The sequence below is a fragment of the Homo sapiens genome, chromosome 18 (genome assembly GCF_000001405.40).
Source record: "Homo sapiens chromosome 18, GRCh38.p14 Primary Assembly".
Lineage (NCBI taxonomy): Eukaryota > Metazoa > Chordata > Mammalia > Primates > Hominidae > Homo > Homo sapiens.
This window is the reverse complement of record NC_000018.10, coordinates 47,667,046-47,695,034: the sequence shown is the minus strand read 5'-3', so window position 1 is coordinate 47,695,034 and position 27,989 is coordinate 47,667,046. Positions and strand designations below refer to the sequence as shown.

Sequence of the window (27,989 nt, the reverse complement as noted above, 5' to 3'; positions counted from 1 at the left end):
AATGCTCTTACCACAAAAACAAAAACAACAATAAAGGGGCACAAGGAAACTTTTGGAGGTGCTGGATATGTTTATTACATTGATTGTGGTGATAGTTTCACGGCTGTATGCATGTACCCAACTCATCACATTGTATACATTAAATGTGTGCAATTTTTTTGTATGTCAAATGTACCCCAATCAAGCCTTTTTTTTTTTTTTTTTTTTTTTTTGTTGTTGTTGTGGCTGGAGGGATTTGGCCCCTGGCTGTAGTTCTCTTATTCCCAGTCTACATTCTGAGTCCTCAGTCTCTAGCTCTGGGTTCTGTGAAGGTTGTCATTCTCCAGTCCCTGAAGGAAGGACTTGCTCTTCTCCCTGAACAGGAATTCAGGGGATGCGAGGTTGCCAGTAATCTAAGAGGGTAAGGTGAAGTCCTGTGAAATGTACAGATCACAGACATTATCGGAGTTCCTGAACAACACTTTGTACATATGAGGCATGAACTCAACACCATGGATTAGAAAATGGCTATGACAAGGTCAGACACCTCTGACTAAGAAATCTCTAGTAACAACAATAGCTTCTGCTTATTGAATTACTTGCTGTGCTGTAGACACAGCACCAAATACTTTCATGCTGTATCTCAGTTCATCCTCTCACCAACCTTATCAGATAGATATTACTATTATCATCATTCTTAGATGAAAAAACTGGGGCTCAAAGAGATGAAATAACTTGCTCAAGATACACAGCTAGTAAGTGGTAGAGCTAAGACTCAAACCCAGGAGGACCAACTCCAGAATCCTGCCCCTACCATAGCATAACCATGTAGGATGCAAATCAACTAATGTTATAGTTAAACTACAGGCTACATATAGACTCCAGGAGGGCTAAGTGTACTCACCTCCTGTTGCTTTGGAAACTCATGATGACAAAGGTGACTGTGATGGAGGAGTGGTGTCTAAGGCTATTATAAATTATGCTTACCCATGGAAAGTCTTGGCTTGCTGGAATTACCAAGGTCCAATCAGAAAGTGCTTGTTAAAGTAATCAGAGAGGTAGAGATAGAAACAGGAATTCGAAGTTGCCCCTGGATCATTTGTCAAGAGATTGACTTATCATTTTCCAAGAACTTCTGGAGTCTTTGACTTTATACCTCTGCCTTCAACTGAGAGATGCTGCGGCTTTAATCTGAAAGAAAAAAAATTGATTCTGCCTCTGGGTTTTATTCTGCTGGCCAAGCTATCCAGGGGCAACTTCCAATCTGCATTTCTGTCTCTGCTTTGCTAAGCCTGATTAAGTTCATGAGTGTTCACTGGTTTTCAAAACTACCTCTAGCTTCTTATAATTTCAAATCAAACTTTGTTTTGGAAATAGTCATTTCTTGTTTCTCTGGGGACTTCTGAAAGCCTTTCTCTTTTTTTCTCCTGTGAGGTTTCAGGGAAATATTTAATTTTTCTTTCCAGATTTATTTGGCTTCGCTAAAGACATCAGAGGCAAGGCAAAAATGTCCACTTTTATCCCACCTCTTCCAAAGTACACTGACGGTTTGTTGAGTGTTCATACCACCTTCCTGGTTTAAGACGAAGGCTAATGGAGGCAGATATTAGAAACAAGCTTCTAGGAGTCAGGACTTAAGCTCTTTGTAGTTCTACTTTATATCCTTTGAATCTGTGGCAGAAGGCTAAGGTGTCCACCTGAAGTTTGAAGTCTTGTTTTTTAAATTACAAAAAGTTGTATCTCATTTTCTCTTCCAAGACACATCTGTTTTCTCTTTGTAGGAAAATGATTTCTCCTGCTGTCTGCCTTTCTGTGTCCATGTTTGAGCAGAGTTTACACTCTGGGAAGACACAGACATACCAGGTGTTTGTGGGTCCATGTTACCCCTAACATATCTGCCCTGTTTGAAAATTGCAGGAAAGGTAACCACCTAGTTATACTTAAGTGGGGAAATCCCACAATGACAGATTTCTCACAGCATGAGAAGTGATGGAATAAGTCTGTCCTAGGCCATTGGGTAGATCTTTGGAGTGGAGATGCCTCTTCTCTCAGAGAGTTTATAGCTGTCTCCTTGGATTCTAGTCCAGGAGTCATTAAGAATGCAGGCCTTGAGATCAGATCTACCTGAAGTTGAGTTTATGTCCTGCCTTAGCCAGCTACTAGCCGAGTGATCTGTAATATATCTGAGTGGGGAGGTCAGGTAGGCAGTTGTATATGTGATTCTGGCTGGAGCTCAGGGAGAGGTTTGGGTGGGAGAACTATATAAAGGCATTGGTAAATGCATGGTGTGTAAACCATGGGACTGCAGGAGCACACATGGATAGAGGGAAGAATGGGGCTTAGGACTGAGCCCTGGGGTGCACCAGTACTCGACAGAGTGGTAGAAGGAGAGGGCAGTGGGTGAACTATGGCAGGAGCAGCCAAAAAGAGGAGAAGATGCTGGCGGAGGAGGTGCCAAGGAAGCCCAGGGACCTTATGCTTCTAGGAGAGGCTCAGTACAAGAGACCGAAAAATGGCCTTTGTATCTTGCAACATGGGAGTTTTTGGTGACACTGACAAGAGTGGTTTTGGTGACATGTGCAGCCAATGCCCTAGTGGAGTGGACTGTGGAGAGAGTGTAAAGTGGGGAGGTACAGATGGTGATGACAAGTCAACTTGTCCCCAGGTTGGCTGGGAAAGGGGATTGATAACACAGGGCTGTGGGTGGAGGGGCGAGATGATGGAAGAGAGTGTTTGATGGTTGCCCAAATGCCAAAGTTAGCACTAAATGCTAAAAAAGCAGTAGTTACTATTATCACCTGGATTTCAGTCCTCAGAAATGCCCTCTGCATGGGAGTTTGCCTTTGAGGGAGCTCCCAGAGATCAGAAGGCCCCCACACACAAGAGAATGAATCACTAGAGGTTAAACTTAGGCGAACTGTGAAGTTTCTCTTTGGAGGCATGGGCTTGTTCTTTTCCCCGTTCTATGGACAGGGTTGCCCTTGAGAAATCTGCAAAATTCCTGAGAGCTTCTGGAATCCACAGGTCATCTGCCCTGGTGTGGAGTCCTGCACTCTCTGGCTTATGATCCTCACTTGAAAGTTGAATTTTCTGATGATCTGTCTGCAGGCTGGGGTTGCAGAAAACCAGAGAGAGAGAGAGACAGAGAGAGAGAGAGAGAGAGTTGAGGATGAGTGCATGATCTTTTTTAAAGAGCAGAGTAAATCTTACACAAATCTGATAATCGTCTCAGCAACTCTGGGCCTTGCCATTTACATTCCCCAACTTAGTCTCCCTTCAACATCAAGGACAAAAATAACGGCTTGTGAGGACTTAACGGCTTAAGGATGGAAAACTTAAAACTGGTCGGATTCTGCCCAAATCCTATCAGATTTTCTTGCTTCTCATAAACCTTTAATCAGCATCAATGGTGTGTGAGTGTGTGGGTGTGTGTGCACTCACATACACACGCACTCTGCTCCTCTCCCCTTAGTCAACTTAAATGACAAAGCAACAGTGTGAACGGGTGATACACACACCAACAACTGGAATTGTGGCAGAAATGGGATCCAATATTGGCTGCCACTGGTGTGTCTGAAGGCAGAACTTACCCTTGGGTCAGGGCTAGGGATGAAATAGAGGGTGCCAGGCACCCTGACTCTCACATGCCAAGGTCCCTGCGTAAGACAATTGAGGCAAATTTGAAACTTATTGCTAAAAATAATATTGTAAAGAGTTTTTAACCAATGATTTCTTGCAGTTGTCATATATGCTAGGTAGGCAATTGCTTCTGATTACTTTATTTTTTATTTTTATTTTTGAGACAGAGTCTCAGTCTGTCACCCAGTTTGGAGTGCAGTGGCACGACCTCGGCTCACTGCAATCTCCGCCTCCCGGGTTCAAGTGATTCTCGTGCCTCAGCCTCCTGAGTAGCTGAGATTACAGGCATGTGCCACCAGGACTGGCTGATTTTTTTTTTTTTTGTATTTTTAGTAGAGATGGGATTTTACCATGTTGGCCAGGCTGGTCTCAAACTGCTGACCTCAAGTGATCTGCCCACATCCCACTCCCAAAGTGCTGGGATTACAGGCATGAGCCACTGCACCTGGCCTGCTTCTGACTTATTGTGAGACATACAAGAAGACCCATTAAACAGGTATTCTGTTAACTTGCTGCTGAACGGAAGCCCATAATGATGCCCCAGTTTCTTGCTTTCATGGATGGGGCTACAGGCCTTCGGGAGTGGGGAGGTAAATACAACACAAAAATAAAATCCCATACATGACTCCACACTGTCAAAACTTTGATTTCATTTGAATGCATCCTATAGCACTGCAGGGTGCACATGCTCTGTCTGGTTGAGGCATGGCTGCATGTACTTGTCTTGTATTTAGTTTGCCTTTGCAGATGGCAAACGTTAATGGTAGGAAGAATTTCTGTGTAGGGACCTTGATCTTTATGATGATTAATGTCGAAAACAGAATTCCAATATGGAAAAATTCAGTTTGCTTTTTAGGAGAGTTGATTTTTATCTCACAATGCTGGAAACAGAGTGAACTGTCAGAGCTGCTCTTAGAGAATGGGGCAGGTGGTCACACTGAGCTGTGTGGTCCAGTGTCAGGCTAGCTTCTCATGTCCTAGGAGGAGCTGGGTGGTCCTAGCTGCATCCTCTGCCTCCTCTCTGAGGTTGTTATTGCTGTTAAAGTCAGGCTGGCCTCTTTCCCTTTTCCCTTCTCTTTTTTTTCAGTAATATTCACTGCTCTTCCTCTCCGTGTTGGCAACCAGGCTAGTACCAGGACATGACAGCACATCAAAACAGCCTCTGACTTTTCAGAGCCTACATTCTAATGGGAAGAGAGAAATGAAGCAAATATTTCTAAGAATCACTGTATAAGTATTAGCTGTGCTGAGGGAAGTTATACAAAGCTGGGAAAGATAAAGGAGGCAACTGGTCTAATCCAGGGGTTTGGCAAAGCTTATCATGGGGAGCAGTGCTCCTCACATGGCCAGGCGTCTCTTATTGTCCTCCTCCTTCAGAGGTTACTGTAGTGTCCCCCAGTTTGCTTAGGGGACTTTAAGTGGACTCTGTTCCTTGCAGCCAAGGACAAAGGTTAAAAAACAAAGCAAAAACTCTCCTTAATTCAAAGGAATCCAAATCTAATGGAGAAATTCCAGGCACCAGGAAGGGACATAGTAGGGGATGTTTTTGAGGGGGAGGGGGCCAGTCATTATTTTTCAGATAATATTGCCACATCTAAGGCTGTCTCTGAGTAAGGAGCTGCTGTGAAACTTGCGCAGTGGAGCAGTGGCCCCTTTGGTTGGCAGGAGGGCTGCCCATGGTGGAGGAGAGCCTTCCTGCAGTTTCCTGGCCCAGAAAAAAATGATGGCATTAATTCCAGGCCTGGAGAAGAACAGAAAGCCCTGGAGCCTAGGCACAGCCCTCTGATTTTCCTGGGAGTTTCCCTGAGTTAAAATGCATTGGCTGTGAGTCAACATTTTCCTCGCAGTGGGGGGCTCTGTGCCTGAGTTCCTTGGCCTCATTTCCTTACCAGGACCCGGATGACTGACAGGCAGCCGTGAATGACAAGCCCCCAAAATAAGGGAGGGGTGTTGGCAGGGGGAAAACAGCCCTGACTTGGCAACAAAGCTCTTTGCTTTGGGGCCTTGTGAATAGCATCCAGCCTCATCCAGAAAATGTATCTAGAAAGTGCATCTCTGGGTGGGTGCAGGAGTGCAGCTTGCAGGTCCAGGCAAAGTGGAGCTGGTGAAAGTGGCCATGAAAGCAGAGGGAGGCTCACACCATCCATGAGGAAGAGCAAGACTAGCCAATGTGTCCTGGAGGACTTTGAAGTATGCATTGACAGTTCTCTATCTCTCAGGACAGATGGGTGACCAGGATACCACCTCACAGTCTACTCTGCACATGAGCTCCTGTGAATTTACTCTGATCCCTGGGCTGGGAATTTGAAGAGCTGGGTCCCACTTCCAACTCTATGCCAATCTGCTGTGTGACCCTGAGCTCTCTAAGCCTCAGTCCCTTCAGAGAAAAAAAGAGGGTCAGGCCCAAGAAGTCAAAGGTCTCTTCCAGTTCTATTGGGATCTTACTAGAAGTTCTTTTTTCTTATGCGTTTTAACCACCATTGAATCACCTTCATCTGTGTCTTTATGATATCACATACGAGGTGGAAAACAAGCCCATTTGCTATGTGGTTGGCAGGCTTCCACGGAATGAGTTAGCTCTACATTTTGGGGTAGTTTATGATCATAGATTCAGATTCTTCTTTCTACCCTCTCATATGAAAACCAAAATGTAATTATAGCTTAGCGTCACAAGAGCCATCAGCCAGGTGGGCAGAATTTGCTAAACCATGGGGAAATGTAGTTGGGAACAAAGACTTCTATTCAGATTGGATTCTGTGACAGTTTGCTAAAAGCTTGTGAGATCTCCGCAGTTTCAATATTTTTTTGTGACATTTTGAAAATGTCGTTTTAAACCTTTTTATTTTCATAGAGCCCGAATAAACTAAAATGTTGTAAAGATAGTATGGAGGTATACCTTCACCCAATTTTATCCAGTGTTTTACCTAATGTTAACATCTTATGTAACTATAGAACATTTATCAAAACTGAGAAGAAATTAACATTTATGCAATACTATTAACTACACTGTGATCTTTATTTGGATTTCCCTAATTTTTCCACAAATAATCTTTTTCAGTCCTGAGATCCAACCAGGATGCCATTCGTGCCTTTAGTTGTCCTGTCTCCATAGTGTTCTCTGACCTGTGACAGTTCCTGTCTTTTATTTTTCTCCTCCATGATCTTGACACTTTTGAATAGTTCTGGTCAAGTATTTTGAAGAATGTTCCTCAGCTTGGATTTGTCTGGTACTTTCTCATGATTAGACTGGGGTTTTGAACTCAGAGGAAGAATGCCACAGAAATGAAGTACTCTTTCATCTTATGAGGTCAAGGGTACATGATATCAACATGACTTGCCACTGGTGATATTAACTTTGTTCACTTGGTGAAGGTTTTTCCATTGTAAAGTTATTAGTGTCCCCTTTCCTTTGTTAGAAGTGAGTATAAGTATTTTTATGCTCTAAATTTGTGTGGGGATATTATTTCCAAGTTCAGGCCCTAGTCAAAAAAGTCCTCCTGTCCCAATTAATATGATTCTCTGAGATTAAAATGTAATGCTTATAAAAGTGCTTTTGGTGGTACTGAGGAGGTATCAGCAGGTTAAATAAAAGTGGGTCTCTAGCTGAGGTTTCGGGTAAGTCAGACAGTGGGCTTGGGGCAGCAGGAGGTGAGGAGGAAGGAGCAAGAGGACAGAGTGGGCGATTGATAGAGAACAACTGCCCTTGGCTGGCACAGAGGAGCAGGCTTCGCAGGGAGCTAAAAGAGTGGCAGGTTAAATGCGACCTGTGGCAAATTAGGGGAAGAGGGAATGCTGTGTGAGTGGATGTTCTCCCACATAATTTCTCACCTAATTCCATGAGGCACTCACTCAGGTTAGGGACGTGGTCTGTGACCATGAAATGGAGGTTGACTGACTGGCCGGCATGGCTCTCAGACCCGTACCTTTGACCTCTAGGGTCAGCATCATGGCCCTAGATGGATGAGAACCCCATTTGGGCAACTGTCAAACTGTGAGGGGTCTGCTTAGGGGGATATGCATGTCTGGCCATGCTTGCCTGGGGTCTAGGAATATCAGCACTTGCCATTGATCAGAAGGTAATTTCACATCCTCAGCAAGCAAGGGGCCTGAGGACATCAAGTTCCCAGTGCCTGTCCCAATGCCTGCTGGGTATGGGTTTGTAGAATAATTTTTGGGGGGCTCATCCTGGTATTGCCCCACTCTGTTCACAAGGGACAAGTCATCAAGCTATTTTTTCAAGACTTTGGGCCATTTTTGCAGCCTTCTTCAAGTCACAATGACTTTTAACAGGCAACATCTGACAGTGCGGGAGCCCCTTGCAGCCCTGGGTGAAATTATGATAACAAGAGAAAAAAGCTATTACTGCCACCATGCTTTCATTATGCAAATTATATTAAGATAGGCTGTGTGGATCGCCCCTGGCTATGCTATAATCTCCATGCAGTGATTATAATGTGTCAAACTTAGTCATTTTGATTATGACATGTTAATTACATGCCATCCTCATGTAGACATGAATATTACTCCCAGTCAGACAAAACACAAATTGGGGCCATTGTTAGTGGGTTAGTTGTGTGTATGTGTCTTAACTTTTTTTTATTAAATGGATTAAAAGATTTAACAGATATGTAATATTGCAAACTAATTAAATACCAGCCAGGTCCTCTGTGTTCCAGTGGGTGGAGAGAGGGGATGAGACTCATTTGGGCTGCTTGGGTTGCATGTTTGTGCTCTGGGCACTGTTGGCAAAACAGGGTTTCCTGGGAAACAAGAAGCTGGGGTTGCTGGAGATGGAGGTGGGAGGGGGTGTGAGCTGGGGTGGGAGGGAGTGGGTAAAAGGTTGGTAGGGTGGGATGTAAGGGAGCATCTGAAAGTTCCAGGCCCGATGTAGATTGGGAGAGTGGAGAAGAGTGATAGGGATGGCTGAGCCAGAAGGGCCCCTGCCAATCCTGAAGCCTGCCTCTCCTTTCACAGAGGGGGAGACTCAGGACCCAGAGAGGTGAAGGAACTTGTCTAGGGTCACCTAGCTTGTCTGAGAAGGAGCTCTGACACAGCAGTGCATGACACCACTGTGACTTAAGACTGCCATTTCCCTGTGGCAGTGGAAGAGTTGACCTAAACTTAATGGAAACCCCCATGACACTTCCAAGGGATCACTGAGAGTCGGCTCATTGGTCCATACATTCATGAATCAGTCACACCCACACCTCTTAGCTTGGCATCCATGGTCTTCCATAATCAGGCTTGATTCTCTCAGTTTTTGGGGGTTGTCTGCTAGTCCTGTCTACTGTAACTCTTTTACTTCTATAAGAATGTTCTCTACTGCATTGTCCTCCAAATGCACCCTGAATCTTTAATCCTTTGGGCTTCCACAAAATCTGAAATAATAATAAGACCTGGTATTCATCTAGTATATTTTATAGGTATTTATTTACTATGTTCCGGGCACCATCCCCTCAAAATTTATTTGTATTAATTCATTTAGCTTCACAGCAACGCTGTCTAATATGTTTTATTCATATTCTCATATAACAGATGAGAAAACTGAGGGACAGAGAGCTTAATCCAGGCAGTCTGCTTCTGGAACCTGCACTTCTAATCATTAGAATATGCTGCCTTTCTGGACTGATGTTTTCTTTCAAATGTATTCATCTTGCAAGACCCATGTCACATTGTTTCTTCCCCAGGAAGCTTTCCCTGCTGTAGGAGATTGTATTATTATTCTCAGATACTTTCTGTTCTTTCCTGAGGATAATTATATCTCCCTGTTCCATCAATGGTTGGCTTGGGCATGTGACTTGCTTTGGTCATAACATGAGTGGAATGACACTCAGTGTGAATCTCATTCCATGAACTGTGAGGGGACATGACAAGTATTACAGTCCAAGGAGAAGCTTTACCAACTGGTTTTCTCTTTTCTCTCTATCATGACAAATAGAAATGTCCTGGATAGAGACTGCTCCATCAGCCTGGGTTCAAACGAAAACGATGGAACAGAGCATAGCTTGTTCATGTGCAGTGAGCTGGAAATCAATCTGATACAGACTGTTGCTGTTGTCAGCCACAGACAGTTTGGAGTCATTGGTTACTGCAGCATAACCTAGCCTATTCTGACTTACACACCTGCTCTTGTATCCCCATAGATCCCTTGCCCCAGCAGTCACTCCTGTTCCTGCTGGAAGTTCCTGACTTACATGATTTGCTAACTTGTCAAATCTTTTTCTCCCCTACAGGCTTGTCAATGCCTCCAGGGCAAGCTACATGCCTTACGCTTGTTTGCTTCCCCACTCCTTCCCCACACTTAGAACAGTCTAGGTACATAGTAGGCTCTTAGTATGTGAGTAACTATTGAGTTCTTGATATATATATATATAAAAATATATAAAATATATATAATATATATAAAATATATATATAAAATATATAATAGATAATATATATAAAATATATATAATAGATAATATATATAAAATATATATATAATATATTAAATATATATTATATATAAAATATATATTATATATAAAATATATATTTTATATATTATATATATAATATATATAATATATATAATATATATAAAATATATAAAATATATATAATATATAATATATATAAAATATATATAATATATATAATATATATAAAATATATATAATATATATAAAATATATATATATAAAATATATATATTATATATATTTTTTTTTTATGAAGGAGGACATTTCACAGAGATCCCATGGGGCCAGGCCACAGGTTCTGGTGACCCTTTCCCACTTCTCCTTATCGCTTTCTTTAACCAATCTTCTCTCAAAGCCATCCTCTGTGCTTTCCTCCCTTTGTCCATGTGCTGGAGACCTAGAAGAATAGTGAGGAGTCTTGCCTCACTATAGGTCTTCTCAGGGCTCTCTCTCTCTCTCTCTGTGTGTGTGTGTGTGTGTGTGTGTGTGTGTGTGTGTGTGTGTGTGTGTGGTGTGATCAAAGAGCAAAGAGCCCAGCCACCAATCCCATTCCTAAGTCCCCCATCTTCCTCCATGGCACCCCATCCAGGTCTAGGTCCAGCCTTAACACCTTGGGTCCTTGCTGCCTCACCTCTGAACACTGGGGGCTGAGTCAGAGGAGCTCTCCAAGTTCCTTGCAGGCCTAAGAGCCATGAGTTCAGGCTCATGTTTATGGCAGAGGAATAACTAGTGAGGAGAGGGAATGGGGCTGATATCTCTGCCACCTTCCTAGGGTGCAGATTTGAGAAGGAACTCACTGTCAGAGGCATGCAAATGCCAGCTCTACACTTTCTTCAATTTTGCTCCCTAGGAGCCTCACTCACCTCACCTAGTCACCCTAAATAAAACAGGATAATAGGAAATTGAGTATGAATTGAGGGATGAAGCTAGGCCTTCCTGTCCAAACTCCTCCCTCAGCACTGTGGTGAGTCACTGGCCACTTAACTTCAGCTCAACTTGTTTGGCTGATGCTGGTTTAAGAGTCTGTAGCCCCCTATGAGAATGCAAACATTCCAGGACTTATGTGTAGTAGCCATCAGCCAGCACTTCATGGAGTGTAGTCAACCAAGGGTTTTGAGTAATAGGGCACAGTCTTAGGCTCCTTAGAGGAGTTCTGTGGAATAAGAGAGATCCTGAAAGGTAGAGGTATTTGAAAGAACAAATATGATGACTTAGAAATTGGGGGCCAGGCTTGGGTTCCAGGTCATTGGCCACCTCTCTCCAGTATAGGTTTCCAAGGGGTACATCCTGATCTAGAGAGAGACAACAGAAGGCAGATCTCGCACAGTTACTAGGAGAACTCCTGACCCTAACAGCAGGCCACTCCTGGCCCCTGGGATGGTCATTTCTCAGTGTGCCACAGCCACTGGGAGTTAAGCTTTCTGGGAGCAGGTACTCACTCCACTCTTTCTGAGCTCTGCCTTCAGGGACTGACTCAGTCCTCTGCACTCAGACCAAGAGAGAGTAAACTTCCTCCAGCCCCCTCTGGAGCCCCTACACATCCATTTGTCTTATCAAGTTGAGACAGGGAAGGGAGAAGGAGAGAAAAGTTAATTTAAGGGGGGAAATTATCTCTGTTCTCTGCTAATGGAACCTGTAAATTAGGGCATTTAATTACCAAAGACAATTTGTTCATTTTGGATGCTAATATTTACATTAGCAACTGCTTTGAAAGCATGAAATCTGATGAATTGTCAAAACACTTTTACTCCTTTTCCCCAAATTAATCAAACGAGCTGCGATCGGGCTATTTATAAGTCTAGTTAAGTATATCTCCCTAGTGAGGAATTTTTCCTCCCACCTCTTTCACATTTGGTGAGCTCTCACAGCTACTCAGCTTCTCACCTAGATACTTGGTGCCAGAGGATCTCAGTGGGAAGGTGCTTGATCTATTTCTATATTTAATGACACATTTCATCATAGTGGAACAGAGCATTGTACCACCTTTGTTGAAATTATATTTCAGTGATAATCCCTTCCATCTGTATAACCCCTGGTGACTTCCAAAGTGTTCTTACAGAGAAGAGCTCACCTCCCATGCCTGCTGGCGAAAGCTTCAGACTCAGATGCTGACGGCTGACAGGTTTAGATGGGGCTCTTGCCCTAAAAGAGCCCAGGTCTATAAGAAAACATTAATTTGGGAGAGGAAGGTGCCAATGAATGGGCCCAGAATGGACACCTAAGACCATCTTCAGAGCAAGGACTCTCCAGAAGCCACCACCTCCTGTTGCTAGCCATTCTGATCTCAGATGAGATTCTTGCTCTTGCAATTGACCTTGATGGTAATCTGCCCTATTCTGACAACTACCCACACTCACTCAAATTCTCAAGGGATCTCTCTTCCACTGTCTAGTGGCATTGTGGCAGGTGGTAGAGATATCAGCCCCATTCCTCCTTCTCACTTGTTATTCCTCTGGTATAAACATGAGCCTGGACTCATGGATTTTAGGGCTGGAAGGAAACTGGAGAGCTCCTCTGGCTCAGCCCCCTGACATTTGGAGATGAGGCGGTGAAGGCCTAAGATGTTAAGACACTTGGTTAATTTCCTACATCTGAATGGGGCTGGGGGAAGGAGTCTGAGCTGTGGTGTCTGGCTCGCAGGAATACTACTAGCTCCCTTCACAACAATAAGCCTGTATCCTGTGAGATGAGCACAGGGAAAGGATGTCTATGCAGAGAGGGTGGCTGAGGCTTATTCCATGCTGTGGTCTGAATGTTTATGCCTCCTCAAAATTCATATGTTGAAATCCTAACCCCCAAAGGGATAGTGTTAGGAGGTGGGGTCTTTGGGAGGCCGTTAGGTCATGATGGTGGAGCCCATGAATGAGATTCATGCCCTATAAAAGAGGCCCCAGGAAGCTCATTCACCTCTTCTGCCATGTAAGAACACAGCAAAAAGACTACCATCAATGAATCAGGAAATCAACACCACATTTGCTGGCACCTTGGCCTTGGACTTCCCAGCCACCGGAATTGTGGGAAATAAATTTCTGTTGTTTATAAGTCAACCATCCTTTTTAAAGTATTTTTGTTATTGCAGCCTGAGAAGACTAAGACATTCCCCAAGGTTTACTTCCTCTTGGGAATCTTTCACTATAATTACTGCTGTCACCATCATGTTTCCCTTTTTATGCTTTGCCCCTAATTTGGCCATAAAAATCTCCTCTTAATTCCAGCTGAGTTCAGCTGAAATATTTAGATGAGATTTTATCAAAGGTGTGGGGATAGCAACAGGTAAAGAAGGAAACAGGAATGAGATCATGCAAATAAGACTTGGCTCATTCATCTTCAATTGGGATCCCCTAAAGAGGATCATTTGCTGTCCCCTCAGCCACCTCAATGGTACAGAAGTTATCTTTAACCTCTGTCATCTGGAAGCTCCTTTGAGCACATCTAGATTCCTCTAATTTTACATCTAGAAGAGAAAGAAGCTCAGCCATGGTGTTAGGAGCTTGCCCTCTGCCTTAGAAATGGTTAATCTGTATTAAGTATTAATCCAACCTCTTTGTAATGTGCCTTTCTGAATTTCAGAGTCTGGAAATCTAAAAGTTACTGACTCCCTGGCCTCTAGAGTTCTGGTTGAGAATGGAATTCTGTCCATTAAATATACTTGTGTGAGATTTGGAAGCTGGGACTAATGCCAGGGCAATTTTCCTGAGAGTTTGGCTAATGGCATGGACACCTTAGGCTGCTAAGCAGAGCTGCAGGTGCAAACACTAAGCTCTGAGGATATTGAAGGGAGCTGCTGCAAAAGCAGCAATGACCTCCCCAGATTGCAGATTACATCACTAGGTCCACTGGGGCCTCCTGATTTCCACCTTTCATGGTTGGTCAGTTGGGCATAGTGCATGCTCAGGATATCATTCCCAGAGATCCAGCCTAAAGGAAGCTCTTCCAGCCCTTTCACTAATTTTCTAAGCACCGGTTTCTCATATTAAATCATTTTCTGCTTAACACAAATTAAATGATTTGTTTCCTGCATGAAGAACTCTGGCTGATACTCTCATTTATTTGGCTAGCCTGCTTTCCTGTCTCAGGTCACTTGTCTCCTTGTATCTAGTTAAGGAAAATGTCATCTTCAGAAGAGCGCCTCTCCCATCTATAGGGTTTGCTTTACTTAATCTGAAATAGCAGCAAAAGACAGCAGTGGGTGGGGATCTTCCTTGCAGGGTTTCTGTTCCTTCTTGCCCCAACTCTAATTCTTCAGAGATGTGCACACAATGTCAAAGGCCCAGCAGCCTCACTGTGCTAAGAAGTGAGAGATCTTCTGGGCCCCAGGGTCTTTCCTGTTCAGACAGCTGAGGGCCTAAAAAGGCATCAGGTTTAAAGCTGCCATATGGGCTGGGCCCCCACAGCCTTAATGGGATAAACACCCACAAATAACACCAATGAAAAGCAAAGAGGCTAGCTTTGATAAGCTTCCTAGAAGCCTAAGCCCTGAGCAGAATTTTCAGGAAGAGGGGAGAAGTAGAGGTTAAAGGGTGTAATCGCTCTGAGATATGAGAGGGCAGAAATGACCCACTGTGACCATCCAATTATTCCTTATACCATGTCTGTACATTTGTGTTCCCATTCATATTTTACTATTCTGAATTATTTACAGATTGTTGTGTCACACAACACTTCAAAATTTAGTGGCTTATAATAACAAGCATTTTTACAGCACACAGTTCCTGATGGTGAGGAATCTAGGAACAGCTTAGTTGGGTGGTTCTAGCTCAGTGTTTCGTGAGGTTGAAGTCAAGGTATTAGCCAGGGTTGTAGCCATTGTACAGCCATTGACTGGGCTAGAAGATCTTCTAATTTCTAAGTTCACACATGTGGCTGTGGGCAGGAGGCTTCAGTTCCTCACCACATGGGCCTCTCATGCCTGCTGGCTTTCTCCAGAGCAAATGATCTGAGAAACAGAGAGGGAGAGGGGAGAGAGACAGAGACTGTAGTGTTTGTATAACCCAACCTCAAAAATACCATACCATCACTTCTGCCATATTCTGTTGGTCATGTAGAACAAATCTGATATAATATAGGAGGGGACTACACAGGGTACGAAGATCAGGAGGCGGGATCACTGGGGGCCATCTTGGAGGCTGGCGACACTTTATCTTTCTTCCCATGCTATTATACACATTTTACACATTGTAGATGCTAGTGGACAGTGCACCTTACCCAGAACTCTCCTGACCCCTAAGCTAACAGTGTGGACTGACCAATAGATCCAAATGTAGAATTTGTAGCTTGATGTCTAAAGAAGTTAGAGATATTTTTATTCCTTACAGATTATAAATTGGGTATTTTAATTGCATTGGTGATAGAAATTTTTTTTCTAAATCTGAGATAATATTTTAAATACATTCTTGAGCCCAGGGAGTGAACTGCTTACTCCTGGCTTGACCACGGTGGGTGCTGACTGTGACCTCTTTGTTCTGTGTCCTTGCATCTTTTTCAACCTGCTCATCAGATCAACTGTGCCCTCTCCTTTAGCTTCTCCGGGAGACAAAGCGCAAGCTATCAGCCCATTAAGATAACTTTGAAACCACTTAAGATGGGCTATTTCAAAAGGTACCAAATTCCCTGATCTTATAACTGAACCATTTAACTAGATCATCCTGTAAAGAGAAAATGCGTTAAAAATACCAGTTAATTACTTTTTTTTTAATTCCCAAGGCACAAATAAGTCCTAGTTAACTGTCTTTGCACATTTATATATTTAGACATCAGGATGTGACTCTATTGCAGTCACAGCAGCCAGCAGGCACAGGAGTCGAGGATGGCTGGCTCAAAAGTCGTGAGACTGGCTTTCTCAATTACATAGGGATGTACTCAACAGAATGTATTGCCTCATACCATCAGGTACTTATGGTGAAAAGCCCTAGGAATAAAATCCTTGAACCAAGGCCTTATTAGCAATTCTTTTTTTGGAGAATACCCATTGTTGGCCAAAGCAATATGGTGTACCTTAAGTATCAATACTGAGAAATGTTAATTAAGCCTCAGTCCTGCCTTGATGTGCCAGATGAGTAAAATTCAAAAGTGGGTTCAATTTACTCTTTGGAACCAATTAGCATAAAAAAATCTGAGGCCTAAAGACTTTAATAAAACCATACAATCTTTGAGCTAAAAAATTCATCTACATTTTAGAGCAGACAGTAGAATAAAGGACCTATATTGGAAAGGCCACTGAAAACCTATTCACGTCAGGTCAAGCATGTCAGAACTGGTTTTATGGGCTAGGCTAGCCCCCATTTCACTTTTTTGAAATCTAGCTATCTAGTGGTCCAAATGCTTGGAACCAAATAAGTATTGAATAAATGAATGAATGGTAAGTCCAAGTCAAAATAGGTTTCACCTCTTGATACACTGAAATTCAAGCCCTTTGCCAATGGGAGAGACTCTTTGGTGCTGTCTCAGAGTCTGGGTACCTTTACTTTTTGTACCACCTAAGGAAGATTGATTATCTGGTTTCTGGTTAATCAACATATTGGAATTGGTGAAATGAAAAGAGAAGTTGCTTCCATAGGCAGGCACAGAGAGTAGTAAATCATGGCAGGTGAAACCTCAGAGAAGGAAGAGACAGGACACTCACAGAAAGCAGACATCTGCTGAAGGAGTCATGGTCATCTGTGGTTGGAGAGAGGAGCAAATAGCCTTAACCACTTTCTTAGCTTTTAAAGGAATTAGTGTGTTACAGCTCAGTACTAATTCATTTACGCATTCTTTCATTCAAAGAACACTTGTTACCCAGGTGCCAGCAATGAGGAAATGAAACACTGTGTTGGGTGAAATCTAAGGTCTTCTAGCTCTAGGGTTCTGCAAAACTTGAGCATCTACGTGGAAAGCCGATTAATATGGTTTGAATGTGTCCCCTCCAAAATTCATGTTGAAACCTAATCCCTATTGTGGTAATATTAAGGGGTGGGGCCTTTAGGAGGTGATTAGGCCATGAAGGCTCTGCTCTTATGAATGGATTTGTCCCTTATAAAAGGGTTTGAAGGGACAAGTTCCACCCTTCTACCATGTGAGGACACAGGATTCATCTTCTTTTGACCCTTCTGCCTTCTACTAGGTGAAGATGGCACTGTGAGATGAGGCCCATTGATGGAGCAGGCCCTCACCAGACATTAAACCTGCTGGCACCTTAATCTTAGACTTTCTGGCCTCAAGGACTGTGAGAAAATAAATCTTGCTCGTGATAAGTTACCCAGTCTCAGATCTTTTGTTACAGCAGCACAAATGGACTAAGACATCTATGCTGGGCCTTCTACATTCTCTGAGTCTATTTCCAGGTGCCACTAAATAAAAAGCCTAACTCATATTCATACTACTCCGTAAAAAAGGCAAGGAAGCTTAATCTGCTTTAGGAAGATTTTCATCTCCATAGGTTTAACCAAGTGAGTGTTGGTGCTCATCTGGGCCCACAGCCTGGTGGAGCAGCATCTTCTCGGAGAGGCAGGAAATGAGGCATCACCGCCTATGTCTGTGGCACATGTCAAGGAGTAAAAGCTGAGGCATCGTGTTGCTGTTTTAGGATTGCGGCACAGGTAGACAGTGGGAGAGGCAGAGCCTCCTGGAAAGACTGGTGAGAGCATCCCAGAACTCCATTGGTCCCAAAGTCAAGCACTTGGTTACAGTTTTGGTGAAATCAAGAAAGGGGCAGCACGGCCGGGCACAGTGGCTCATGCCTATAACACCAGCACTTTGGGAGGCCTAGGCAGGTGGACCACTAGCAGTCAGGAGTTTGAAACCAGCCTGGCCAACATGGTGAAACTTTGTCTCTACTAAAAATACAAAAATCAGGTGGGCTTGGTGGTGGGAACCTGTGATCCCAGCTACTTGGGTTACTGAGGCAGAAGACTCACTTGAACCTGGTAGGTGGAGGTTGCAGTGAGCAGAGATTGCACCACTGCACTCCAACCTGGGTAACAGAGTGAGACTCCATCTCAAAAAACAAAACAAAACAAAAAAAAACGGGCAGCCTATGGGTATGGAAACATCAAAAGGGACACTCCCTTCTAGTGTTAGTGAGGGTGCAGGACCACTTTCTATGTAATAATCTAATTCTGTTATACCCTGTAGCATAATTGACCTGCAGAACCTTGTATAATTGTAAATCATGTGGTCCTGGTATTCTCTTAAAGTGTCTAGGTTACTGAATGCAATTTGGGTTTACTAAAAGATTTCTTTATGCCCCCTTCCTCGGGTCTTCCAAAAATGCCAGTCTTCTCCTAGATTTACAAAATCTGTAAATTGGAAGAGACTGCAATAAGTCCATTTCACCAAAAATGATTTGGGGCCCCTGTGTGTGCTAGTTGTTTAGAGTGCCTCCAAGGGCAGACACATGGGTACGGTGCCTTTCCTCTTAGCCAGGCATAATGAGACCTCAAGCTGCACCAAGTGATGGGCTGGACAATCTAGGGTGCTATGGCCAATGGCAATGTCAACACACAACATAAAGGAGGAGGAAACCAACAAGCCGAACAATGCCTTGTTTTTCTTCATTTCACACAAAATGGAGGGTGTTAGTATGGAGAGGACTATTGGAGGCCAAATGTCATCATTTTGAAGCTGAGGACAGGAGAACTGACAAAGTTCAAGAATGTTTCCTGGGCATATTGGCAGTCATAGGCAAAGCCAGACCCGGGTCTTGGATCTCCTCTTTCTTAAGCCACACTCTTCCCCACTGGCTGTCAGTCTAAGCCTGCTGACAACCACTCTTACATAGGGCAGGTAAGATGATTCTCATTTCCTGGGTTGGTAAGTAAGACTTAGAAAGGCTAATGACTCATCTAAGGACATACACATATGATGGATATTTAGTCTTCTAAAGAATAATTTTCTAGTGCTAAATGTGGAATCAAGAGCTGGTTCTTTTCCTCCAGTTAAATGAGCCCTTCCATAGAGAACCCAATTCACCTGGAAGTAAAAGCAAGTTTTGATGCCTTTTCTTATGAGTCTAGACCCTTTTAGAGGAGAAAGAGGCCATATCAGGTATAGTTCAGAGCACAGACGCTGGAACTAGATGGCCACTCATAAGCCACGTATCCTGGGATAAATTAATCTAATTTCTGTGTGCTTTAATTTTCTCAACCAGAGAACAGGACCAGTAATAGAATCAATTCCATGAAGGTGTTGAGAGGATTACATGAGTTAATACATGTAAAATGCTTTAATATAGTGCTTGGCACAGAGTTAAATGTTAGCTGTCAAGCTGTCACTCAGCCAAGGGGAGAGTAAGAGTTATTACATTCTTGGCCTTCTATGGAGGATATGGCGGCCTTTTTGCTTCTCACTGTAGGGTAGAAAAGGAAGCACAAATCCATCTCCATCTGGATGTCTACTGTCTAAAAATCTTCATAAAAGTCACTGAAAATTGAGAAATAAGCAGGACTAGCAAGCTGCTGTTAGTCACTTGAATTCAAGTTCAAAACAATTGACTTTACTTTGGCCAATGAATCAAGCCTTTAATGTCATCAGGTATTGACCTCATAGCTGAGTCCTGCTAACATAGGGTACATTTCTTCTAGTGGCACTGGTTTCATAGGCTACACTAATCTACACTTGACCATGGCAGAGATGAGTGTCAAATTAAGGAAAATGCATTTGAGAGCTCCATCTTGTTTGTTAAAGGCACAATATCTTCCCTCCAAGATGTAAAGCATATCCCAGGGCCAGGACCTGATTCATGATTCATATCCCATTCAGATGATTTGCTGGATGTTCTTTTTTTTAATTTCTTCACCAATTTTTACTCCTTTGCAAATCAATCTGCCTGTGATCAAATCTGTACTTAGTTCAGTTAAGCAAATATTTTCTGAGAGCTGCTGTATATCAGACACATTGCTAGACCTTGGGGACTCAGAGATGACTAAGATACACACTTCCTGCCTCCCAGGAGCTTGCAGCCTGCTTGGGAAGGCATACACACAAAGGTCAGGGTGTAAACCCAGAGGAGGGGCACCTAACCAGCCAGAGAAACAGAGGAGCTTCTGAGACCCCGACTCCTTCCACTTTCCCCTCCATCAACTGCCCCACCTCTCTCTTTCTCTTTTTAGCAAAACCCTTCAGAAGGCTTCTCTACATATGCTGTTTCCAATTTCTCTCCTCCCATTCTCACTTGAACTTGCCCGTTTAGGCTCTTGCCCTGTCCTCTCCACTGACTGTTCTTATCAAGTCATCATGTTTCTAGATCTAATTGCGAGTTCTTGGTCCTTATTTATTTGAACTATCAATAGCATTGGACACAGTCAATCACTCTTTCTCCTAAAAACACTTTCTTCACTTGGCTTCCGAGATATCCCATACTCCTATTTTTCCTCCTGCTTCACTGACTGCTGCTTCTCAGTCACCTCATCAACTTGACCACTTGATGTTGGTCCCCCACAGCTCAGTCCTTGGGATACTCCTTTTCTATTATTCTTGAGTGGTCTCAACTAGTCTCAACTACATGCTGATGACTCTAAAAACTTTAATCTGAACTGCTCTCCCAAATTCAAGATTCATATAGTCAACTACCTACTAGACATCTGTACTTGGATGTTTAATAAGCACTTAAATCCATGTTCCATACTGAGGCATTGATCTTCTTATCCTCAAACCTGCTTTCCCTGCCATCTTACTATTTATTTAGTTAATGGTAACATTATCCTTTCTGGAGCTTAGGTCAAATAACTTTTGAATCACCTTTAATTCTTCTCATTCTTTCATAATTTACATCCAATTCATTGGTATTTACACTTTACCTGAAAAAGTACATCTGGAACGTGACTTCTTCTTATCACCTGCACTACCATTACCAACCCATTGTCATTTCTTGCTCAGAATCTTTCTATAGCCTCTTCTCCATTGATGTCTCTGCTTCTATCCTTGCCCCTCGTTGATCTATTCATAACATAGAAGTCTATTAAAAGATGGTCAGATCATGTCACACCCCATTTCCTCACCTCCACGACTCCCATCCTAAAGTCTAAGTCAAAGTCCTTATGGTGGTCTACTGAACAGTATTCCATTGCATGGCTATACCACATTTTGTTTATTCATTCATCTATTGATGGGCACTTGAGTATTTCCATCTTTTGGCTATTATGAATAATGGTGCTAAGAATGTTGGTGTACAGGTATCTGTTTAAGTCCCTGATTTCAGTTCCTTTGGGTAGATACCTAGAAATGGAATTACTGGGTCATTTGGTAATTTTATGTTTAACTTTTTGAGGAGTTAGCAAACTTTTTTTCACAACAGCTTCCCATTTTACATTTCCACCAACAGTGCACAAAGGTTCCAAATCTCCAGATTTTTGCCAACATTTGTTATTTTCTGTTTTTGACAGCTGCTCTGCTTCTTGCTCTTCCTTGAAGGGGTCAACCATCCTCTGGTCTTGGTACCTTGCACTCCCTGTTCCCTTTACTTGGAATACTGTCACAAATCTGCATGGTTCACTCTCCCATTCCCTCCAAGTCCTTTCTCAAAGGCTTCATTAACCACTCTATTAAAATTGTACCTCTTCCCTGCTTTAATGTTTATCCATAGCACTGACAGCTTTCTAACTTATTTGATAACTTGCTATTTCTTTGTTATCTGTCCTTTCACCTTCCCCACTCTGTGATGGCAACGATTTTTTTTTTTTCAATCTGTTTTGTCGCTTCTATACCCCAGTGCCCAGAATAATGCCTGGTCTTTTAGGGATGGGCACTATTGTCAAAAGTTATTATAAAATGAAAAAATGATGCCTGATTTGAGACTTAATGGATGTACTGACTAAGGCAGACAGTGCAAGGGTAAGAAAGAGGTTTTCTATGCTGAGGGAGCACATGGATCACCATGAATTGGATCTGCTTAATGAAATGGATGAGAGTCTTCTGGAAGCAGAGACCCTATAGTTACCAAATGTATCATGAGATTGTCTTTGCTCACTGTCAGTTACCATTTTTCTCCCCTGCAAGCAATAAGATATGCTTATATGCTGATGAGTGACCACTAGATTCTGCTGAGTTATAACAATGTGGACGTCGACAGCCATACATACCCTAGCAATCTTGTGAGAGAGGAGAAAGTCTATGATCTATACCTAGAAATAGACCTGCAAGATCAGTACCTTGATATTGTTGTTGTTATTAATATTTTTGTGTGGTACTTGCAACGGTCATTCTCTGAGTCACCCATCACACATTCTATATTTGTCAGTACTTAATGCAGGAAGTTTTAACTCAAGGCTCTTACAAAATGCTGCTATCTCCTGCTGCCCTCTAGTCAAATTAAAGTGAGCTGGACCCCGCCCCCCGTCCCCATCTCCATCAGCACAGGAATTTCCACCAGACCATGATGGTGCCTGTCTGTGGCTAAGTCTACCCTGCTCAGCTGCTCCCAAGAAATGTAGAGCATCAGAAAGAGGCATGTGAAAATGCAATAATGTGAGTCAGGGTCAGAGTAAACTGGTGCTGATGCCAAGTGCTAAGTTTTCCTCCTCTCTCCTTATACCCTTTGCTTCCTGCACCACAAAGTAGCAGTCTGGGGACCTGGTCAAACTTCATGGCAAGTGGAAATTAGGAGAGGAAGGGAGAAAACAACTAATATCTCCTGTGTGTTTTCTAGATCCAAACCCTGCTGGAGGGGCCCTCTGGGCTCAAAAGCTGCTACCTGCCTGTGCTTTCTGCGGGTAGAGAAGGCGCTCTTCCTACCCCAAAGATAGCCCTTTGCTCGCTTCTCATACCTCCACAGACAGGGAAAACATGGATCTGAATGAGTTATTTTGCAGCAACCCACAGCCACCCCTACTTCTGGCCTGACCCATTTCTCCAACTATAATGTGACTCTAATAATCCCTGCTCTGCTCTCCATCTTGCCTAGAGGCTACGAGAGTTCATTAGATTAAAAAAATCTATAAGCTACTTTGAGCACCTTGGAGGTAAGTGCTCTATAAGTACAATGTAATAATAATAATGCTACAATAATTACCTTGACTAATTTATGCATAAGACAGAAAAAAAGATTCTTAATTAAGAAACATTTCAACAGTGTGAACACAGGCCCCATATATTGGAAAGTAATACTACCATCAGGGATTCTAACTCTGGGGCAGATCGACAAAGATAATGAGCCACCCATCCTCATTCTGAGTGCCCTCTGAGTGTTGTGGGTTATGGGGAGGATGACAATGCTCTGTGGCCAACATACTGGAAAGGCAGACGATGAAAGAGAGGAGTTTGGTATTGTAATTACATAAAACAGAAACTAAGTTAACCTGATGATACCCTTATCGGACTGCAAGTAATTAAGAACCATGGTAAGCTAGTCAGTGACATCAATACAATGAATCAGTTTAAAAAAAAAGAATTAAAAAGACACAGTCAAAACAAACAAATATGGAATCACCTGTGGGTGAGTATAGAGCTGGAAGCAAACTTTTGTGATCCTCCCTCTCTCTACCATTCAGGTTCTTAAGGGCTGCTAGGGAAGAGATGTGTGCCTCCAGTGTTACAGGTATACTGCAAGGTTACACTGAAATGTGGAGTGGATCAGGATATGTTCTCATCAGCCATAAAATTGTCCCAGGATGCAGCTCTTCTAAAACAAAGATGTGCAACATTTTTTATAGGGAAATGAAAAAGTAGGATAAGGACAACCACCACAAATCCTGTGACTCATCTTCTCTTTGTTCGGCCAACATTTAGTCTTCCCAAACAGAGGATTTTGGTGGCCAATTTGCAGCATTCAGTATGAAGTGCCTGTGCATGGTAGAATATAAGCCAGGTTACCTTAGTGGCACCCTGGTGTCTGGGTCATTTGTAGTTGCTTCAGGTTATGCACTGGACCTGGATTAGATTTGCTACGGCTGGAGTAGCACGGGTGATTTAACCAACAAAGCGCCCTGTAGGAGATCTAATGCCTTGTTTTGTGGGAAGAAACTGGCTGGTGGGCCACCTTTTTTGAAGGTGACCACGAATGTAGCAGGCTAAACTCCCTGTTATCCTGTACAATTTATAGACCCATTCTCTGGGGAAAGCTGGAGGATCATTAGGAGGTTAAGATAAGACGTGATATTCCTCTTCTAACTGCTAAGCAGAAATAGGAAAGTCTGTCTACAGTGGGTCAGACATGGCTGGAGCAGGGGAAAAGAAGTGTGCGTGTGTGTGTGTGTGTGTGTGTGTGTGTGTGTGTATGTATGTGTGCATGGTCTGGTAGGTGGGATGGGGAGAAGGTAAGCATAAAGCTGTAAGACTTTAAAGCTGTAAGTCAGCTGGCCTCCAGAGGAGCAGCCCCAGTTGAGACCAGAAGAATCATTCAACCAGGTCCAGCCTAAAATCTTTGACCTGCAGACTCAAGAGCTAAAGGAATGCTTGTTGTTTCAAGTCACTAAGTTTTGAGATGGTTTGTCACAGTATGTTCATGGCAATCGATACAAATATGAAAGGATACCTAAGGATACCCGTGAGTCTGTAAAAACTGCCAAAGATCACTGCACTACTAGAAAGAGGGAGCCGGTTCTGGTCCAGCTCTAACTTGATGACCTTGGGATTTTACTCTTCTGCTTTAGATCCTCTTCTCTGCAGAATGAAAGGATTGGGCTAGCTCTTACTAACTGGGGTTCAAGGATTGGTTCTGCAGTGGAGGGGAGTAGGAGAGGGTCTTTGAAGCTTGTGAAATTATATGTGTATTTCACAGGTGCATGTTTTTCATGGGAGAGGGTTGGTTCATACTTTTCACTAGATCCTTAAAGGAAGTATGACCTCAAAAATAAGAATTCCTGGAGGAGAAGCTTTCTGAAGTCTCTCAGGCTCTGACTGTCCATGCTGGGCTTCTGTGTTGATTAAACAGCACACGAGTTAGGACTGAGTTGCCCTGTGAATGGAGGAAGGCAGGGAATGCTTCCTACCCACTGGCCTGCGGTCTGGACTTTGGTCACTGTGGGTAGAGTCTGAGTCTTGGCCTATGACCCACATAACACTTTAACTCAGAAGGAGACCCTGTGACTGGTGGGATATTTTGGAGTAGCCTTGGTGAGCTGTGGGTCCTCTCCATTGTTCTCCTCACTGTTCCCTCTGCCCACCCCTGTCGGACCAGTCTTGGATGTCCTTTTCTCCAGTTGGCCTCTTCTCCCTAGAGCCTTTCCCACCAGTGCAGTTAGTCTGATTTCTTCTTTGAGTCTCCATGCTGCTCTGAGTCTCCATGCCCTTCGAGTTCCTACTGAATGTTGTAATGTCTCATAGCCTCAGCTGGACAATAAGCTCTGGAAAGCAGGAGTCATTTCTTCTGCTTCTCAGAGGCCCTCACAGCCCTGAGCAGAATACATCAGCTGACATGGCCCCTGGACAATGCTGGTGCCAAGGCCAGTCCTTGGAACACTCTGAGTGAAGTAAGCAACTTATTTTCAGGATTCCCCTCTCCACTGCCCAGACTTCCACTGACCCTAGTTGTCACTCCAGACTGGCGGCCCTTCCTTTCCTGAATGACAGCTGAGGTCTGTCTTATGCCTTTCTCCTCTTCTAGTGGAAATTTATGTATCTTTCCAGATCCTGTTAGATGACAAATGAATCGAACTGAATTCTAGCTAAAAGTGAAATTTAGCTAGAAATGAGTTCTAGCTAAAGAGTTAAGGCTAATAACAGCAATGTCTCCCTTGGGTATTAATTCTACATTTGAACTCAATTTTTTTTTAACATTCTTATCCATAGGAGCAATTTTACATCATGATTCCAGATACAAGCTGGTGGGGATGAAATTTTTAGAGCATGTAGTTCATGGCACTCCTCAGATCACACTGCCCATGCCATCTGGCATTCTGGGCTGTTCTACCAGTGGTCTTGGAGAGACTGACAGGACAGGCACATGGCTTTCTAGCAGGACCACCTCAGGCTATGGTTCATGTTTAGCCCTCACATTTTCTAAGTCACCTATAATAAGCAAGTCTGTTAAAGGGATCTTGACTTCAGAGCTGGTGTGTGTGTGTGTGCGTGTATGTGTGTGTGCGTGTATGTGTGTGTGCACATACTAAAACTGAATCACATTCTATGTCTTTAGCTTGCTGTCATGTTTGTTATAATGTAATATAATCAAATCATGTAGCCTGAGGAATCTCCCCAAATCATTTGCTCCGGGGGCCTGCCTTTGGTCTACAAGTTATTGTTATCACTCTCACCATTTTAAAGATGAGTGATGCTCAGCTTCCACCTTTGGTAAGCGAAAGAACTGGGACCAGAACCCAGGACTCCCACCTTCTGTCACAGGGCTCTTCTCTATCACAGATAAATTGTATGAAAGACCAACTCATTCTTTCTCCCTCTCAGCTTTAAATCATTAGTAGTTACCATTGTCCATGAATTATAATATACCAGCCATGTTGAAGCCTATCACTAGGCAGGCACACCCAGGTGTGGATGGTTTTACGCAGTAGGGTGTTGTAAAGAGAGTTATATACAAGCTGCATCTTTATAACCTGCATTTTATCTACACAACTGAGAGAAGACATCTAAAGAAATCCTTTGATGACAATGACAACCCTAGTATTCTCATGTCTGTACAGTTTGGAGTGGTTATAAGAAGCATATTGTACCTTAACCCACACGCGCAGTTTCAGGCAGACTCACCCGTGCAGCACGTGCACGAACACCAGGATGCACAGGGCACAGGAGCTAAGAGTCTGTTGGTGTCGGCTCCACCCTTGGCAAAGGGAGCATGGTGACCCAGGAATCAGAACTCCTGGGTTTTCATCGCACCTCTGACACTGATCTGTGATTTACCCCTTCCTGGGCCAGCGAAAGGGCAGCAGGGATTACTTTCTAGGTCTTAGTTCCCATTCTGACATCACAGGTCTCTATGCATATTCATGCGCACAAAATAGCCCTCAGCCACAGGGAAGTCCGACTCTGCCTGAGGAGATTTGCATGGAACAGAAATCAAAGCCTTAGGCCTCAGAGAGGAAGCTCCAGTGGTGGAATTTTCGGTGTTATCATTATGAGAAGGATGGGGACAGCGTTTGGGGGTCGAGAGAGCCAGGCCCTGGCGGGGATTACCCCCCAAGGGGTGCCGGATCTGCGCGGGGCTTAGGCACTCTGATTGCGCACATGGGCGTCTGCGCACCCGGGAAACCACAGTCGCCCAGCACCCACCTCGGGCTCCAGGTATAAACGTAGGGAGTCTGCGGGCTTGCTTTTCGTTGGCTACTTAGTTTTAATGCCCCAAACCAATTTTAAATAAAATAAAGGAATGCCCCTAAATATTCTATATGGGGTTTTCGTCTCTTTTTTAAGAGGGACATTTCAAGACTAGTTTCCCATAGGTTTAGCCAAAAGGGAAATTAAACTCCACATTTAAATGGAGATTACGCACAAAGGAATCCATTAGTTTCAATATTTTTCAGCAGGAGGGCGCAGAGTTATTTAAATAAGTTTAGATATTAAACCTAAAGTAGCCATTAAAGCAATGTGGATTTGTCTGTTTTTTTCCCCCAGAAATCTTTTTTTTTCCAGCTGACTGAAAAAATCTATTGCTTAACCGATATTTGAATGCATTAAACAAAAAATCCAGGGACTTATTAATATAGCACTTCCTTTGGATTTTTAAGTACCATATTACAGCGTACTTATTATAGCCAAGTGTCATCTTTTGGACAGATTAAACTCTCAGCGTTTTCCCTTCCCCGCCCCCGCCCCCGGCAGAGCAGCGCTAATATAAAGCCCGACATTAAACCGCATTGGCTATGGAAGAGTCTTTGATTGTCATTGAGATTATTTTAAAAGTTATTTAGGTCCCCCTGTTAACATCTCTGCAAACCACTGAGAAAATGTTGTGCTGGGTTTCTCTTTGCGACATTTCTTTGGGGATTCATAAATATTGATTGTACCGTAAAAAATTGATGGAATCTTGAAACAGACTGCAGTTGA

At 43.2% G+C, this 27,989-nt stretch overlaps 1 long non-coding RNA gene across 5 annotated transcripts, besides 1 other annotated feature; it reads right to left on the bottom strand.

Moving 5' to 3' along the window:
• Nucleotides 1-187: 187 nt before the first annotated feature.
• Nucleotides 188-26,940, bottom strand: LOC105372100 (uncharacterized). Of its 5 annotated transcripts, XR_935438.3 has the most exons (7): nt 26,694-26,940; nt 23,482-23,673; nt 20,855-20,993; nt 14,780-15,015; nt 2,778-3,088; nt 967-1,170; nt 194-413 (listed from the first exon to the last, which is right to left on the bottom strand). It is a non-coding gene; the product is annotated as an uncharacterized LOC105372100 (long non-coding RNA). The 5 variants fall into 5 exon arrangements; XR_935434.4 differs by having other exon boundaries at nt 188-413; nt 967-3,088; nt 26,694-26,892; XR_935436.4 differs by lacking the exon at nt 23,482-23,673 and having other exon boundaries at nt 967-3,088; nt 26,694-26,936.
• Nucleotides 16,779-16,828: a silencer, noted in NCBI's record as "silent region_9425". NCBI's record gives its function as "represses an Ori minimal core promoter by ATAC-STARR-seq in GM12878 lymphoblastoid cells {active_cell/tissue: GM12878}" and the evidence as "EXISTENCE:reporter gene assay evidence [ECO:0000049][PMID:35858748]".
• Nucleotides 26,941-27,989: the final 1,049 nt, after the last annotated feature.